Below are 17,024 nucleotides of genomic sequence, written 5' to 3' on the forward strand. Positions count from 1 at the left end.
TCTAGCGAGGAGGCGAGCGCGCCGGCGAGTGAGGGAGGAGGCGCGGCGGCGGGGGAGGAGGCAGGGCGAGCGGCGGCGGCGGCGGCTGCAATCCCAGCAGCAGCAGCAGCAACAGCAACAGCAGCAGCAGAAGCAGCGCGGAGCGCTGCGCCGGCCGCCGGCTCCCGGGCTCGCGCGCGTTGCCAAGCGGCCGTTTCCTTAGCAACCCCGCCAGGGGACTGGGGATGGAGAAGGGAGGGGGATTAAAAAAATAATAAAAAAAGAAAGAAAAAAGATAGCAAGAAAAAAAAAAGAAAAGCAAGACAACGAAAAAAAAAATAGGAGGAACTGTATCACAATTATGCAAACTAAGGGGGAAAGAGAGGCACCTTAGAATGAAGGCTCTCCTTACTGTCGTAAGCGCTAGAGGGATTCTTTGCTAGAAAAGTCTCCGTGTCAGGGCTGGGGTGAAGAGAGCTGAGGGGCGCTTTGCCTTCCCTCACCGGTGCGTTTTACCTCTCGAGGCACCGTAAGTTTGAAGTCCTCCAAGTTGTGGTCGGCGCCATCATGACGCCGGCGACTGTGAGTTGTTTTTTTGTTTATTTTCTTCTAATCTTGCCTGGGTGGCTACGCTGCAGTTAGCGAGCAGCCAACTAGTTCTCTCTGCGTTTTCTCGGGAATAGGTAGGGACGGTGGCGGGGCGCTGCTTTTTTGCGGGGACACGAGGAGGTGCAAGGCCTTGCGGCAGAGCAGCTTGCGTGTTTGTGGCGGTCGGCCCGTATGGATTGCAGGACGCCCCTCTTTTATCTGTGGGTGTTGACACTAAGTTGTGTGTGTGAGTAGGGGATTGTTTATGGTCAACATGGAGTGTGTGTGTGATAGAGAGCGTGTCGTGCGCGCGGGGGCCTGTGCACGCGCGGCACGCAGGCGCGCTGGGAGGGACGGGGCGGGTCATGCTGGGATGTAGAGTCGGGAAAAGACTGCAATCAAGTGTTTTAATTGTGTAGAGCCCAGGCGGTCCAGTTATGTAAGAGGCAGTTTAACCCATTTGAGCCTATCAGGCCGAATAATCGGCGCATCCGAGTCAAGGCAGGGCAGAGTTAAGGGGTTTAACGAGTCGCAGGGTTGTATTTCTTAACAGCCTCCACACCGCGTTAACAGGCTTGCTCCTCCGCGGTGCAGAGCGGTAACCTCCGCTTCCCCACGCAGCAGCCCCTCCGCAGCTCGCCGGGCTGTTTTCAGCCCTGCCCTGGCCCAAGGCAGAAGGAGATACTAGGCGTGGGGCCACCCCTACTCTTTTTTCTTCTTTCCTTCTTGAACTCATTTCCAGATTCAAGATCCTTAAGCTTTTCCGGGCCATTTGCAAATCAATGCGAGAACCGAGGCTGAGTCGTTAGCAGTTACACCAATCAATCTTGTTCAGCGAGGAGTTTGGGAAGCAGAGCGGGGAAGTGAAAATGGAAAATAAGTAATTAAAAAATAAGCTCCCTCCCCCTCACACACTTTTTCCCTTCCTCCACCCCATCCCCCTTTAGCAGTGTTTGAAGAAGATATTCTTTGCCAGATCCCAGTTCTTCTTTTGGAGGAAATGAAGCAAAACCTCACACGTCCGTAACTCGTTTTCCATAATGCTAGCAGGGTCATTTGGCAAAGCGCACCGAAGCAAGACTCTCTGCAGGGGTCAGCATCCGGCTGCCTCCGCAGACTGAGCTCTTTACGAGGCAGGCAGGGAGTCGTTTTGCTTGGTGGTAGCAGTGTTCAGAGTGATTTTTATCGCCATGCACGGGGATATATGGGGAAAGGGAAGGGTTCCCATCACCTGTGACCACCCAGACTGGCTTACAGACGAATCCTTAACTAGCAACACCTCCCTGCTGAACTGGCACTCCAAGGCTGGGCAGCTAACGGAGACATTTGCGTCAGGAGTCACTGATGTTAGTATTCTGCCTTAACTCTCAAAACCGACTCGGAAACTGAGAGTGCAATAGTTTCAACCGCATTTTGAAACATCAATAAAATGTTAGTCATTTGCGGATGAATGAAAACATTTTCTTTACCGTCTGGTATGCTAGGGAAATAATTGTGAAATGACAGACTCTCACTAATATCGATGCCAAATACCTAAGTAACACTGTCATCTTGTTAACTGCATTTTTCTATCTTGCGTGGCACGCTGATGGATAAAGCGTAAAATTATCTAGGGCAAACGGGGGATTAGAAGACTTGACATGTCACATACATGGGCAAAGCTATGCAGTATTATTTAGCATTTCAGTAGAAACGAGCTAGATTCTATTGAAGAGACACAGAAGGTATAGCTTCCTGCATTGTGACTCAGTTTAGTGCTATTTTAAGCAGGGATGGGGGTGCCAGTGTTTTCTAGTACAAGCTATGAAAAGCATCCTTTTCTGACTGCTGTTTCCCAGAGATCTGACATCTTCAGTGTCCACGGGGGTGGGTTGGGGGTGGTAGGAGGAGGGTTTTCTTTGACCAGGGATGGAGCTATGCTGCAGTTTTAATATGTACAACAACCCTTCAGGCTTGTAAACGGAAACTGGAGCCACTTCTTTTAAAGACAGTTTCCTTTCCTTATTTCTAGTTTTTTATCTCAACTACCATTCACAGATCACACTTAACTCTTGGAGAACCCATCTAAAGAAAGCAATGACTGAACTTAGTGTATAGATGTCTGGATTATGGGGGAAAGTATTTACAGGTACGTCACTATTATTTACAGCAAGTGCAAGAATGTCAGGTAGGGCAGCCTCTCCAGACCCTTATACTTCTAGTCTTCTGACTAAAGAAAATGAATTTAAAAGCTTTTATGACTTCCTATTCCCTAAACCTTTCTAAGGGCAAAACATCTGACAGGCTTTTACGTGGTTTCTAATATTTGCTTTTGAAGTCCTGGAATTCTTACAAACAGAGACTTAAATTCGGATTGTCTTGGCTCTTTTTGAGGGAAAATCGAAACAAAACCAAACAACAACCAAATGAGAAAAAAAAGCTTAAATAGCAAATAGTTCCTTAGTAGAATTTTTTGAAATAGAAGAATTAGTAATAGCATTGTTTAGAACATTTTAGAGGCAAATAGTGGAGTGGGTATAATGGGTTACTCCTTTGGTTAGAATTTTAAGGAAGTGACATTGGAATTAATTATTATTTCTTTATAATGATGTACCTTTTTTCGCTTTAAAAGCTCAACTTCTAGTATTTCAAGAAATGTAATAATCAGTAGGGAGTTAGTATAAAAGGAGAAAGGTGGAGCCTGATTATGATTGCAGATTATTTCATTATCTAGATTGATTCCACTCCTGCCTTTCATGCCCTATGACCTGTATTTTGAATCCCTAAGGATGTTGGAAAGAGTAATGTTATATAAGGAAGCTTCTTAAGATTGCTTACTTTAATAAACTCGATTTTTATTCAACAGTGTAACTGTGATTGTTAGAATGGAAAAAAATAGAAGTTTACATTTGTTTATTAGTAGTGAATGAGTAAAGCCAGCTTCATCTTTCATGTTATTTTGTTTTAATACTTTGAGATCTAGGGTACATGTGCACAACGCGCAGGTTTGTTACATATGTATACATGTGCCATGTTGGTGTGCTGCACCCATTAACTCATTATTTACATTAGGTATATCTCCTAATGCTATCCCTCCCCCCTCCCCCCTCCCCCACCCCACGACAGACCATGTTATTACTGTGTGAGCATGAGAAGTTTTAGCCAAGACGGGTCCCAGGACCTAATGGAAAGAGCTAATGAGATCACTTTGTATTTCCTGAAGGAGGCAGTCAGGAAGCCCTTATAAACTGTACCTCTGAATAATAGCGCTCTAACTTGGTCCATAATTGATTCTCTATTTGAATTAAGCTGCCTTAAGCTTGGAGTACCTTGCCAACTAAAACTGACGTATACTGATGAATTTCAGGTCAGGGTGAGAAATATAGAGTTCCAGAAATTTGTTGGTGGAGGGGAATCTTCCACTACAGAAGTGTTTCTCAATCTAGGCCCTTTTGACATTTTGGTGCAGGTAATTTGTGTGTGTGTGTGTGTGTGTGTGTGTGTGTGTGGAGCATGGGGACTTCTGTGTGCCTTGGAAAATGTTTATCAGCATCCCTGGCCTCTATCCAGTAGATGCCAATAGTTGTGATACCCAGAATTTCTCCAGGCATTGTTAAATGTCCTGTGGATTGGAAAGGGGATTACTCCAAGTTGAGAACCACTTCATTGTAAGTTATATTTCTAAAATATATACCATCTTGTGTTTTTCAAATAAAATAATAAAGCAGATTTTTTTGTCAAAAGTATCTCATTTGGATTCTATAGCTACAAAAAGAGCTCCTTCTCATCAGTTCAATCTCTACATTTACTTGCCATGTGGTTGAGTAGCCCAGGTTACCACAGATGCAATGAATTTAATGGCTGACGGCAACAAAATACTTTCTAGGATTTCTTCCTAAATTGTAGGAGACTTGCTCAAATAACATTACAATTATACACTAACAAAGGTCTTCTATATTGTTGTAATGTATAGTTTGGTTATAAATGTTATTGTAAAGTAGGCGAGAGGGGGTCTTTTATTTAAGCAAGTATTGAACTAATAGTTCTTTGAAAGGAAATTGTCATTTTATGTTGTTTTTTCCAAAATAAAAGTGTAAGTAAATGGTGAGCTTATTTTGGGCAATAACCCATGTAAATATTTGCCTTCTTTATATTGTGACAGCTACATATTATTCACTCTGGAAATGGCTATTGCATAAAGAAGAAGAAAAAAGCAAAAAGTTATTTGCCTATTGGGTCATTCTATTTAAATATCATATATTTATTCAGTTATAATTTATTTAGCATCTTATCTATTCACCATCAGCATTGGGGGTAAGCAAAGAAGTTAGAAGCGTATATGTGTGTTTGTATGTTTGGAGGAGTGCGGAGATACCTACTCTACTTTCAGAGCTCTTCAAGCCATTTCCATAGAATGGCCCTGAAAATTTCACCTAAGTACTTAAACAAGAAAGAACAGTGTTACAATAGATATGGGTAGAAATCATTTTCAAATAACTGAAGTTTCTACCTTTCTACTTGTAAGAAAACAAGTACAGCTTTAACTATATTTCATTATATAATTTACAGTGGGTTCCAGGAAAACCAATAATTATTATTTAAGATTTTTTCTCACATATTTCTAAGAAACTCAAACACCTCTGTTCAAAAATAAACATCAAATTTTATACTTTATACTGAACTATGATGAATGTAAGATCTTTTTTTTTTCAGGATTGAGAAGGTGGCATTTTATTTTAATTTTCTTTTTTATTATTATTATACTTTAAGTTTTAGGGTACATGTGCACATTGTGCAGGTTAGTTACATATGTATAGCATTGGGAGATATACCTAATGCTAGATGACGAGTTAGTGGGTGCAGCGTACCAGCATGGCACATGTATACATATGAATGTAAGATCTTACCCTCCAAAAGAATTATTCTGTTTTATTTTATTATGTAATTTATTTAATTTCCTAAAAGGTTCTGATTTTTATTGCAGAGGTGTTTATCTTGTATATTTTCAGACTCTACTATGACTTGTTAATTTTGTCCCTTTAGCATTTTATATTTTTTTCTATAATTGATATATGTGTGTCTGTGTATATGTGTGTGCCTGTATAAATGGGAAGTACCTCACTGTGTAAACTTATGAAGACATCTTGACTAGAATTTGTAATTTTTAATTTGTGATAATTTTTACTGTTAATATAGTTTTCTTAACACAAGATTGTGAAAACATAGCTTTAAAACATAGCCCTAAGGAGAAAGAAAACTATTGCCACTTCACTCCATGTTCACTTCTAGCAACTATTGAGATTTTTATTGCTCTTGTTGTAAGTTATGATATTCATGGGTAAGTAAATCATTGGTTTTTCTTAAGATGAGAAAAAGTCAGCCGGGTTTGAAGTGGAATAATTTTAAAGGACTATATCAAATACCTTTCCAAATTTATAACAGTCACCCATGTTTATGACATTTAATTTTTTTTGTTCTGAAATACACATTTTTAACAATATACTTTTAGAAAAGTGCATAGAATGTGAAGGTACAGATTAGTGAAGCACTATTTTAAAGTTAACATCCATTTCATTCCACAGTGATTAAGAAACAGAAAATTACCAACACTCCAAATGCCTTCTGCAAGCCTTTTTAAAATTATAACCCCCATTTTCTTCCTTAAAAGTAACCACTGTAATTATTTCACCATCATCATTTCCTCATTTTCCTTATATTTTTACTATTTAGCTTTGAATCCCTCTGAAAGAATGACTGGCTTTTATATGTACTCATACAAAGCCACAATACATCATACAACATGTAATTATAACATACACTTTTTTGTTTCTGGCTTCTTTTGCTTAACATCATATGTTAGAATTCCTCTGTGCTGTTGTGCAGCTGTTGTTCCTTCATTTCTTGAATCCATGTAGCATTTCATAGTATATCTATAGAATTATATATTTATTCATTATATTTTTGGAAGATATGTTTTATGTTACTTGTCTATTAAAGACAGTGATGCTATAAACATTCTTGGATATCAGTACTGAAAACTTCTCCTAGATTACACAATGCTGAGCTGCAAGTTTTTGAGAACACTGACTGTATCAGTCAGAGTTTGCCACAGAAACAACCAATAGAAAGGAAGTATGTCTGTGCGCATATATATGTATACGTACATTTTGTATATTATATCCATTATATATATACACATACACGCACACACACACACACACACACACACACACAGAGAGAGAGAGAGAGAGAGAGAGATTGTTTTAAAGAATTCTCTCATATAGCTGTAGAAGCTGACAAGTCCAAAAGTCCGAAATCAGCAGGGTGGGCTGGGAGACTAGAGACCCAGGGTAAAGTTGATTTTACAGCTGGTGTCTGAAGGCAGTCCAGGGTTAGAATTCTCTCTTCCTCAGGAGACCACAATCTTTTTTTCAGTTAAGATCGTCTACTGATTAAATGAGCCCCACCCACATTATGGAGGGTAATCTACTTTACTCAATGTCTACAGATTTAAATGTTACTCTCGTCTAGTAAGTATTCTGCATAGCAACATCTACACTGGTATTTGACCAAAAATCTGAGTAGCATAGCCTAGTCAAGTTGGCAGATAAAATCAACCTTCACATTGGTTTAGTTCCAGTTCACCAGTATGCATGATGGGTGTGTCTACCTCATCTCAGCTTAAAGGTTTTTTAAGATACCAAGCCTTGGGTGTCCCTGTACTGTATTTTTTGTCACCTCAACTCTTTGATAAAATTTCAGATCATGGTTATACTATAAATTGTCTTTTATTTAGATAGAACCACATGCAGAACATTAATAAGCCTTTTTTTCTTAAATCATGAGAGCAAAAACTGTAGAAAAGTCTTGCTTTTGTTGCTGTTGATAATATTGTTTGTATTTGTTTTCATCATAGACCTTGAAAAATTTTGCTATTTGAAACTATATGAAAACTATACTGTGGGGAAAACCAGTCTGGAATTAGGACAGATTACAATGTTGAAGCATTCCTACTTAGAATCAACGTCTGCTAGAGCCAGTTGAATCCTATGAACTGAGTGTAATGCTCACGAACTGTTGAGAAATATTGTTGGTTCAAATCTAGGACTCTTGCCCAGCAAGTTTTCTGAGTTCAGGTTTTATTTTTGAATTGGCCTTATAATCTTATCAATACCAGTCTGTCTCTCAAAAGAAAAAAAAAAAGCAGCCTTTCAGTCACCTCTAGGATTCGAACAACCACTAATTTGTTCTTCATCACTATTATTTTGTCATTTTGATAATGTTAAATAAATGAAATCATATAGTATATAACATTTTGAAGTTGGCTTTTATTCACTCAGCATATTGCCCTTGAGATCCATGTAGGTTATTTCTTATATCAATATATTTTAGATTTTTTTCTCTTTTTATTGTTGAGTGGTCCATGGAATGGATGTATGATAGTTTGTTTAACCATGTACCTATTTAGGACATTTTGATATTTCCAGTTTGGGGCACCTACAAATAAAGCTGCTATGAACAACAATGTATAGGTTTTTGTGTGTACCTGTTTTTATTTGTCTGGAATAGATACACCGAGGTATGATTGTGATATTGTATGATAAATGCATGTTTACTTTTTTTTTAAAAAAACTGCCAAGCTATTTTGCCATGGGTGTACCATGTTACATCCCAACAGCAATGCATGAGAAATCTGGCTTCTCCACATCCTCGCAGCTTTTCCTATTGTAACTAGTTTTTATTTTATCTCTTCTAATAGGTTTGTAGTGGTTCTTAATTGTGATTTTCATTTGCATTTCCCTAATGACTAGTAATGTTGAACATCTTTTTTCTGTGCTTTTTTATAATCCATGTATCCTTGTCAGTGAAGTGTCTCTTTGTTTTGCCATTTTCTAATTGGATTGTTATTTTTTCTTACTGTTCAGTTTTGAAATTTTTTTTGATATATATTATAGCTCTGAGTCCTCTTTCAGATATGTGGTTGTAAATATATTCATCCAGTCTGTAACTTTTCTTTTCATCTTCTTAACAATATCTTTCATAAAGCAGAGGTTTTAAATTTCAGTGAAGTCTAGTTTACTTTTTTTTCCTTTTATGAATTATGCTTTTGGTATCATATCTAAAAAGTTTCACTAGGCACTAGTTTCTGAAGATTTTCTATGATTTTTTTTTCTAAAGGTTTTTATAGTTTTCTGTTTAAATCTATGATTCATTTTGAGTCAAATTTTTTACAAGATATGAAGTTCAGGTAAAGTTGCTTTTTATTTATTTATTTTGACTATGGATATTCAATTGCTCCAACACCATTTTAGCACCATTTCTTTTGAAATGGCCATATTTCCTCCATTGAATTGCTTTTGCATCTTTGTCAAAAGTTAGTTATGTAGGGCTATTTCTAGGTTCTCTATTCTGTTCAATTAATCTATGTGTCTATCCCTCCACCATTCCTGGTTATTTTAACTATATATAAGTCTTCAAATGAGGCAGTATAGTTCCTCCCACTTTACTCTTTAATCAAAATTATTTTAGATCTTCAAGTTCCTTTGTATCTCTATATACATACAGTTAGAATAAGTTTGTGTATGTCTAAAATATTGCTAGGATTTTGATAGGAATTTTGTTCAAAATATATATCAATTTTGGGATAATTGGGATAATATTTATTGAGACTTTCAATCCATGAGCATGGCACGTTTCCTATTTACTTTGGACTTCTTTAATTTCTTGAAACAACATTGTATAGTTTTCAACATACACGTTTAAGTTTTATAAGATTTATACCTATTTCAATTTTTTAACCATTCCTAATATATGGAAATAGAATAGCTTGTTATATGTTACTCTTGAATTGTCTTAACTAAAATCATTTATTCTATGTTAACTTTTATATTTCTTGAGATTTTTGACATATATCATTGTTTCATATATGCGTAAGATTAGTATTCAGTTTTATTTTTTCCTATTCAGTTGATACATCTTTTATTTCCTCATTTCTTTTTTTTAAAATTTATATGGCTTTATTGTATGGCTAGAACTTCTGGTACTATGTTGGATAGCTGTAGTGAGTATAGCCACCCTTGCTTTTTTTTTCCTGATCTTCAAGGAAAAGCATTCCATCTTTCATCATTAATTATGGTATTAGCTGTGGAGGTTTTGTTGTTGTGGTGGTGGTGGTTGTTGTTTTGTAAGTGTTCTTTATAAAATTGAGTAACTTCTCCTGTATTCTTAGTTTTCTGAAAACTTTGTTTTGAAGATCACGAATGGTGTTAAATTTTCTTAAATGCTTTTTCTGCATCAGTTGATATTGTGATTTTTTTTATTTTGTAGTCTGTTACTATGAAGGATTACATTGACTGATTGTGGAATACTGACTCAGCCATTTTTTAGTTGTTCTATCAATTTTTATCAGAGGAATGTTGTAGTTTCTAACTATGATTTTAGATCCATCTATTTTCCCTTTTAATTCTATCAGGTTTGGTTCACACATGTTGCAGCTCTGTGGTTTGGTGATGTACATTTGGGATTGCTATACTTTCCTAATAGATTGACTCCTTTCTCCTTAAGTAATGGTATTTTCAGCCCCTAGCAATTTTCTCTGAAGTGTAAGATATCTAATGTGATTGGAGCCTCATCTGCTTTCATTTGATTCCTGTTTGCAATGGTATATATTTCTCTGTTTTTTTAATAATTTCTCAACCTACCTATATTATTAAATTTGAAGTGAGTTTTTTGTAGCCCTCATACACCTGGGTGATATTTTCAATCTACTCTATCAAATGTACATTGTTTAATTGGCAAATTTCATTTACTTATTGATGTGTTGGAGATTAATTCTACCATTTTAATTTTTTGTTTTCTGTTTGTTCTCCTTGTTTTATTTTTCTTCTCTGTTTTCTGTTTTCCTGCCTTCCAGTGGGTTATTTGAACATTTTTAATAATTGTATTTTGATTTATTTTAGCATTTTTTAGTGTATCTCTTTGTATAGGATTTTTAGTGGTTATTCTAGGTGTTATATGCACCAACTTGTCACAGTCTACTAGTGTCAACACCTTACCTTATGAGCTAAGTGTAGAAATATCACTACCCTTTGTATCTCTTTTGCTTCCCAATTTTATAATTGGTTTCAGCATTTCTTCTGCATACACTGAGAATCACATCAGACAGCATTATACATTTTCCTTCAACCGTAAAAAATAATTTAGCACACTCAAGTCTAGGATAGTTTATTCTATTTACCTATACCTTTACTCTTTCTGTCTTCTTTGTTCTTTACTCACTGAAATAAAGTTTCTATGTTTCTCTGAGAATTCCTTGATTTTTTTTTAATTCCTGAACTGTATTTTTGCTCAATACAGTATCTTTAGTTGACAGTTCTTTGCTTTTAGTGCTTGAAAAACATGCAACATCTTTTTGAACTTTATAGTTTCTGATAACTCTTGACATTCAAAAGATTTTCCCCTGTAGATTGTTTCATTTCTCATGTGCTACTTTCTATTATTTTTTTTCTGTCTTGAGTGTTCAAAAGTTTTACTGGTTTTTCTCTACTATGAATTTCTTTAGGTTCAACCTGTTCTGGGTTTGCTAAACTTTTTTTTTTTTTTTTTTTTTGAGATGGAGTTTTGCTCTTGTTGCCCGGGCTGGAGTGCAATGGTGCTGCGATCTCGGCTCACCGCAACCTCTCACCTCCCGGATTCAAGCGATTCTTCTTCCTCAGCCTCCCAAGTAGCTGGGAATACAGGCATGTGCCACCATGCCCAGCTAATTTTGTATTTTTAGTAGAGACGGGGTTTCTCCTTGTTGGTCAGGCTGGTCTCGAACTCCTGACCTCTGGTGATTCACCTACGTCTGCCTCCCTGAGTGCTGGGATTACAGGTGTGAGCCACCACGCCCAGCCTAAACTTCTTGAATCTGTAGATTTATGTCTTATAGTAAATTTTTGGATATTGTTTGTCATTTTTTCAAATACTGTTTCAATTGCACCCTCATTTTCTTTGTTTTTGAAACTCTGATGACACAAATGTTAGATCTTTTGTTATAGTCTCACATGTCCCTGAGGATTTATTTTATTTTAGTCTACTTTCTCTTTGTGGTTCACCCTAGGTAATTTCTGTTCTTCTGTCTTCAGATTTACTGTTTGTTTATTCTGTCTACTGTTGAGCCCATTCATTGCATTCTAAATTATGGTTATTTTTCTGTTCTAAAATTTCTTTTTTTTTTTTTTGCATCTTTCATTTTTTAGCTAAGACTCTTTTTCTTTGCTGAGTCTCTTTGTCCACAATATTTTTTTCATTTCTTTTGAACAAATTTATTTATTGTTTTTTAAAGCCTTTTTATAATACCTGCTGTAAAATCCTTGTTTGATAATTCTAATATCTGTGTAATTTTGATGTTGGCATCCATCTTTTAATCTTTTTTGCAAGTAGAAATGTTTTTGGTTCTTAATATAGTAAATAATTTTTATTGAAAACTGGATATTTGGGTATTATGAGACTCCAGAAGTTATTTAAATCATCTGTTTTAGCAGTCTTCCTCTGGTATCTTTCCAGGGATGGGGTGGGGCTGCTAATATTTTTTGTGGTATTTGACTGAAGTAGATCAATTATTGTCTAAAAGCTTTTTATCTTTCTAGGTTGTCCCTTTATTAGTATTTGTTAGAGCATCCTTTTGTTTTGGACTTTTAAATCTATACTGTTGCAGTTTCTAAGTTACCAGCTTCTTTAGCACCTAGTCTGGAATACATGAGGCAAAAAGGAAACCCCAGGAACTCACCGTTATATTTTCTCAGGTCCTCAGGTTCCTAACCAGTCTGTCTTCTACCTTTCAAAGTCATCCTACATGTGTTTTATATATTATTTCAGTGTTTGTAGTGTACTTAGTGGAAAGAATAAGGAAGCATACATCTAATCCATCCTTCCAAATTCATACCCCTCTTTAATAGTATTTAAATTATAAATTTATTTTTTTCTAGTATGCTCAACCCAGGCTTTCATCTCTCTATCTGAGACTGTTACTTCAGCTGAGCTTGTTCATTATCATTATATAATACAATGTAAGTGATGTCTACAAAGGAAACATAACAATTAAAGGATGAAAATTTTGTGTGTGTTCACTTAATCACAGAACTCTGACTAAGGATTTAAAAACACCCAGGCTGTCTATCAATCTATGTATTTTTATGTTTCTGTCACCACTGATGATTGTCTGTGTCGATCAGAAAAACTTTGTGGCAATATACGTAAATTGTGAAGATGGCCACCTTTAGTGGAAAGACCTCATGGTTAGAAATTAATGAAAAGTAAAATTTTTCATGAATGTAGTTGAAGTTTAAACTAGCAATTTTAGGTTAAATAATAGTCAAAACTGGAAAGAAAGTTGAAATAAATAGCACGAGACCTCAATTCTTGTCAAGTTTTAGCCAGTAAATGGTAAAAAACCAAAGACAAATCTGTTTCTTTGGATTCTATTTTAGCTCTTGCAAGATAAAGGGATGGAAATAATATGTAATCTCTAAAGCTCCTTTCTGAATAATTGGATGGAATATGTATATTTAGTGGTTTAATTGTATGAAATACTGCTTCTTGATCATGGGACATCTCAGTCCTTATCATAAGAGGAGATTTAATTTTGTGTACTCAGTGCTTACTCTCCATCTCTCAATTCCTCTGGATATGATTGGATGAGCTAGCCCAACAATTGGTTCAGTTTTCTTGTTATTATTATTATTGATAAAATAAGATATAATTAAGCATGACACCTAAATTCAGTTTTTTTTTTTCCTAGAGATTATGGGTGAAATGTATTTGGACCACAAGTTAGGGATTTGCACTCATGGATAAATAATAACAAAGTATCAAACTAAATATAAAAGATTAATTAGAATGTTTAGATGTAATTTTGGTAGAAAAGTAAATATTTTTATTGTATACTGGTACATATTATTTCCTGGCATTAGCATACAAATGCTTCTGCAGGTGTGCATGCACACACACACGTACACACCGCCCCACACATTTTTACATGTATTAAAATATATTTAAGACACTGGCATTAGGTTTAAAAAATACTTGAATGGAACATGTTCCAGTATTCTATAATTGGGACAAGTCTGCAGTCTAAAGAATATTTGCCCAGCCCCTACAATTTCTACATGAGGCATGTAAATGGTTAGGTCTTAGAACAAACAAAATTATGCTCTTTTGCAATCATTGTAATCTAGGAGTTGCATTTACATGGATCTGTCAGTTTTAATTGGATTTATAAGGTAAGGTTTATCTGTGATCATTTATGGGTGATCTAATTTTCCATTACTCAAAGAGCAAATCCAGATGCTATCAGAAACTCTTAATGATTTTATTCCTGTCTCCTCTGAGAAAGGAGAGGATTGTGGCGAGACAATAGCAAATTTTAAATATTTTTATTAGCTTATTTTTTCCAAATGTTTTTTTCTGTTGGCCATATCAACATTCAGAAACTAACTTCGGCATTCCCAAATGACTCACTTATCTTGATTATTCATGTATAATGGTGGTGTTATTTTTCAGTGTGGGATCAAATGGCTTTTCAAAAGTGAACTCAGCTTATTTCATTATGACCGATTTTCTGATGTTCCATACAATTTTCACTGTAGAATGAAAGCAGCAGCATGAAAGTAATAACGGATTAATATTTAATATAATAATTTCTCAAATGATTGTTATTTATATTTATTATGATTCCACCTCAAACATGAATTTATTTCAAAAATAGTTTGTTCTAGAGGATTCAGGATTTTTCTAAATTATCTTGTGACCTGGGACACACTGTCAAGTTTTAGAAGAGATTAAGAGAACTAAATACATACGCCAAGTCACGATTTAAGGCAAAACAGATAAAATGTGTAAAAAAAAAAAATCAGATCCGCCCCAAACATTCACTGAGAACTTATGTGCCAAAAAATTATTTTATTAACTCATTTTATGTAATAGTATTTATTTGTATATTACATTTTATTTTGGAAAATAGAGGTAACATGTTTATTTAAATATATTTACCTGTAATTACATAACTCTAATGTAAAGGATTATATTATAAAGCAGTTTAATCAACTTTTTTGTTTTAACAATATTCTAAGCCTGTGTTAGTTTATTCTCACTCTGCTGATAAAGACATACCCCTGGGCAATTTACAAAAGAAAGAGGTTTAATTGGACTTAGTTCCATGTTGCTGGGAAAGCCTCACAATAGTGGTGGAAGGCAAGGAGAAGCAAGTCACATCTTACTTGGATGGTAACGGGGCAAAAAGAGAGCTTGTTAGCGCAACTCCCATGTTTTAAAACCATCAGATCTTGTGAGACCCATTTACTATCACAAAAAGAGCACGGGAAAGACCTGCCCCCATAACTCAATCATCTCCCACTGGGTTCCTCCCACAACATGTGGGAATTACAGGAGCTACAAGATGAGATTTGGGTGGGAACACAGAGCCAAACCATATCAAAACCCTATTATTTTTCCCTTTTTCTAGCTAAGGATAATACCTTCATCATTATTTGATTTTTCATCAGTAAGACCCTTACTATATCTCAAAATTAGTATTCTAAGTATTGTTTAAAACTGTTTTTATTGAGTGTATGTTAAGCCCTGAGTCTGTTTTTTTCTTCAGAAAAATAAGTACTTAATAAAGCCCTGTTTGTTCTTTGCCATTTGTAGGCTAAAATTAATTGAAATTTTTTTAACTATATAACTGCACTGGTCTTAACAGTTCTTCTTGCTTACCTACCACTTAGTCTTCCAGTGTAATATTTTCAGACCACAATATTTTCATGTTTCCCCTCTAAAACTTTTCTATGGCTTCATATTATACTGTGAAGAATACCCCAAATCCTTAACATAGTTTGTTGACTACAGGATCTGGTTTCTCTCCTACTTAGCAACCTCTTCATAGTGGTTCATGTGTTAGTTTGCTAACACTGCTGTAACAAAGTACTACAGACTAGGGATTTAAACAACAGAAATTTATTTTTTCATAATTTTGTCAGCTGGAAGTCCAAGATCAATGTGCTTACAGGTTTGGTTTCTCCTGAGGCCTCTTCCTTCGGCTTTCAGATGGCCACTTTCTCACTGTGTCTGCACATGGTCTTTCCTCTGTGAAGGTATCCCTGGTTTCTTTTTTGCTCTTATAAGGACACCTGTTATATTGAATTGGATACCTACTTTTATGATTCAGTTTAACCTTACCTCTTTATTGTTCCTATCTGCAAATACAGTCACTTTGCCGGTGAGGGGTTCAACATAGAAATTTGGGGTAGACAAAATATAGTTAATACTAGTCCATCCTCCATGAAATCTCTGTTTTTGCTTGCTGTTTTATCCCCAGGATCTGTCATCATACCTACATATAGCAGAAGCTCAAGAAATATTTGTTGAAAGAATTAAAGAATTAGTGAACCGGCTGGGTGTAGTGGCTCATGCCGGTAATCCCAGCACTTTGGGAGGCCAAGGTGGGTGGATCATTGGAAGTCAGGAGTTTGAGACGAGTCTGGCCAACTTGGTGAAACCCCATCACTACTAAAAATACAAAAATTAGCCAGACGCGGTAGGGGGCGCCTGTAATCTCAGCTGCTTGGGAGGCTCAGGCAGGAGAATCACTTGAATCTGGGAAGTGGAGGTTGCGGTGAGCAGAGATTGCACCACTGTGCGACAGAGTGAGACTCCATGTCAAATAATAATAATAATAATAATAGTAATAAGTCAACCTAAATATTCGTCATGTAATATGCATGCTTAAGCACTCTACAAGACTTCAGAAATAGAGATTAATAAGATAAGGAACCTATTTTCACGGAGCTAAAATAGGCACACACATACAGACACACTCATACCCCTAAATAAAATAGTATATAAAGTTATACTCTTTAGTTCTTTGGTTCAGATTTTTTTACCTTTAAGATGGTGATATGTTTATATTTAGAGGAGGTGCCCCATACATACAAAGAATTGAACATAAACAGTGACTGCCCATTGAGAATAATTCTGTAAAGACTACACTCCCACTCCAGTTTCTGTGCAGTATGCCTTTGGCAGCTGTTCCAGTTTTGACCCAGGCTGACTTAGAAAGTGTAACTGCCTCATTCATTCTTGTCTTTTTGTAGGAGTTTACTGCAATGGTGACAGAAATGAAGTGCTATGGCACACAGAGGAATTTGCAATTAACAGTCTTCACATTAGAGAAAACATTTGAGCTCTGTGTTAAAGAATATGTAGAATATATCAGTAAGAAGAGCATAAGGAGGTCTTCTAAAAAGAAGAAACAGGCCAGGCGCGGTGGCTCACACCTGTATTCCCAGCACTTTGGGAGGCTGTGGCGGGCAGATCACGAGATCAGATCAAGACCATTCTGGCTAACACAGTGAAACCCCGTCTCTACTAAAAATACAAAAAAATTAGCCGGGCATGGTGGCGGGTGCCTATAGTCCCAGCTACTCGGGAGGCTGAGGCAG

At 36.2% G+C, this 17,024-nt stretch overlaps 1 long non-coding RNA gene across 4 annotated transcripts in view, besides 2 other annotated features; it reads left to right on the forward strand.

Annotated features, from left to right (window-relative positions):
* Positions 42 to 131: a silencer, noted in NCBI's record as "silent region_993". NCBI's record gives its function as "represses an Ori minimal core promoter by ATAC-STARR-seq in GM12878 lymphoblastoid cells {active_cell/tissue: GM12878}" and the evidence as "EXISTENCE:reporter gene assay evidence [ECO:0000049][PMID:35858748]".
* The window catches only part of LOC105378797 (uncharacterized), a 396,491-nt gene continuing 379,556 nt past the window's right edge, over positions 90 to 17,024 (forward strand). For all 4 annotated transcript variants that reach the window (XR_001737670.2, XR_947505.3, XR_001737671.3 and 1 more), the window contains exon 1: positions 90 to 561. This is a non-coding gene — a long non-coding RNA (uncharacterized LOC105378797). The remainder of the gene's footprint in view (positions 562 to 17,024) is intronic.
* Positions 1,513 to 2,712: an enhancer, noted in NCBI's record as "P300/CBP strongly-dependent group 1 enhancer chr1:72750040-72751239 (GRCh37/hg19 assembly coordinates)". NCBI's record gives its function as "activates an origin of replication core promoter dependent on BRD2, BRD4, P300/CBP, MED14 and CDK7 cofactors, with strong dependence on P300/CBP, by STARR-seq in HCT116 cells {active_cell/tissue: HCT116}" and the evidence as "EXISTENCE:reporter gene assay evidence [ECO:0000049][PMID:35650434]".

This window comes from Homo sapiens, chromosome 1 (genome assembly GCF_000001405.40).
Source record: "Homo sapiens chromosome 1, GRCh38.p14 Primary Assembly".
Classification (NCBI taxonomy): Eukaryota; Metazoa; Chordata; class Mammalia; order Primates; family Hominidae; genus Homo; species Homo sapiens.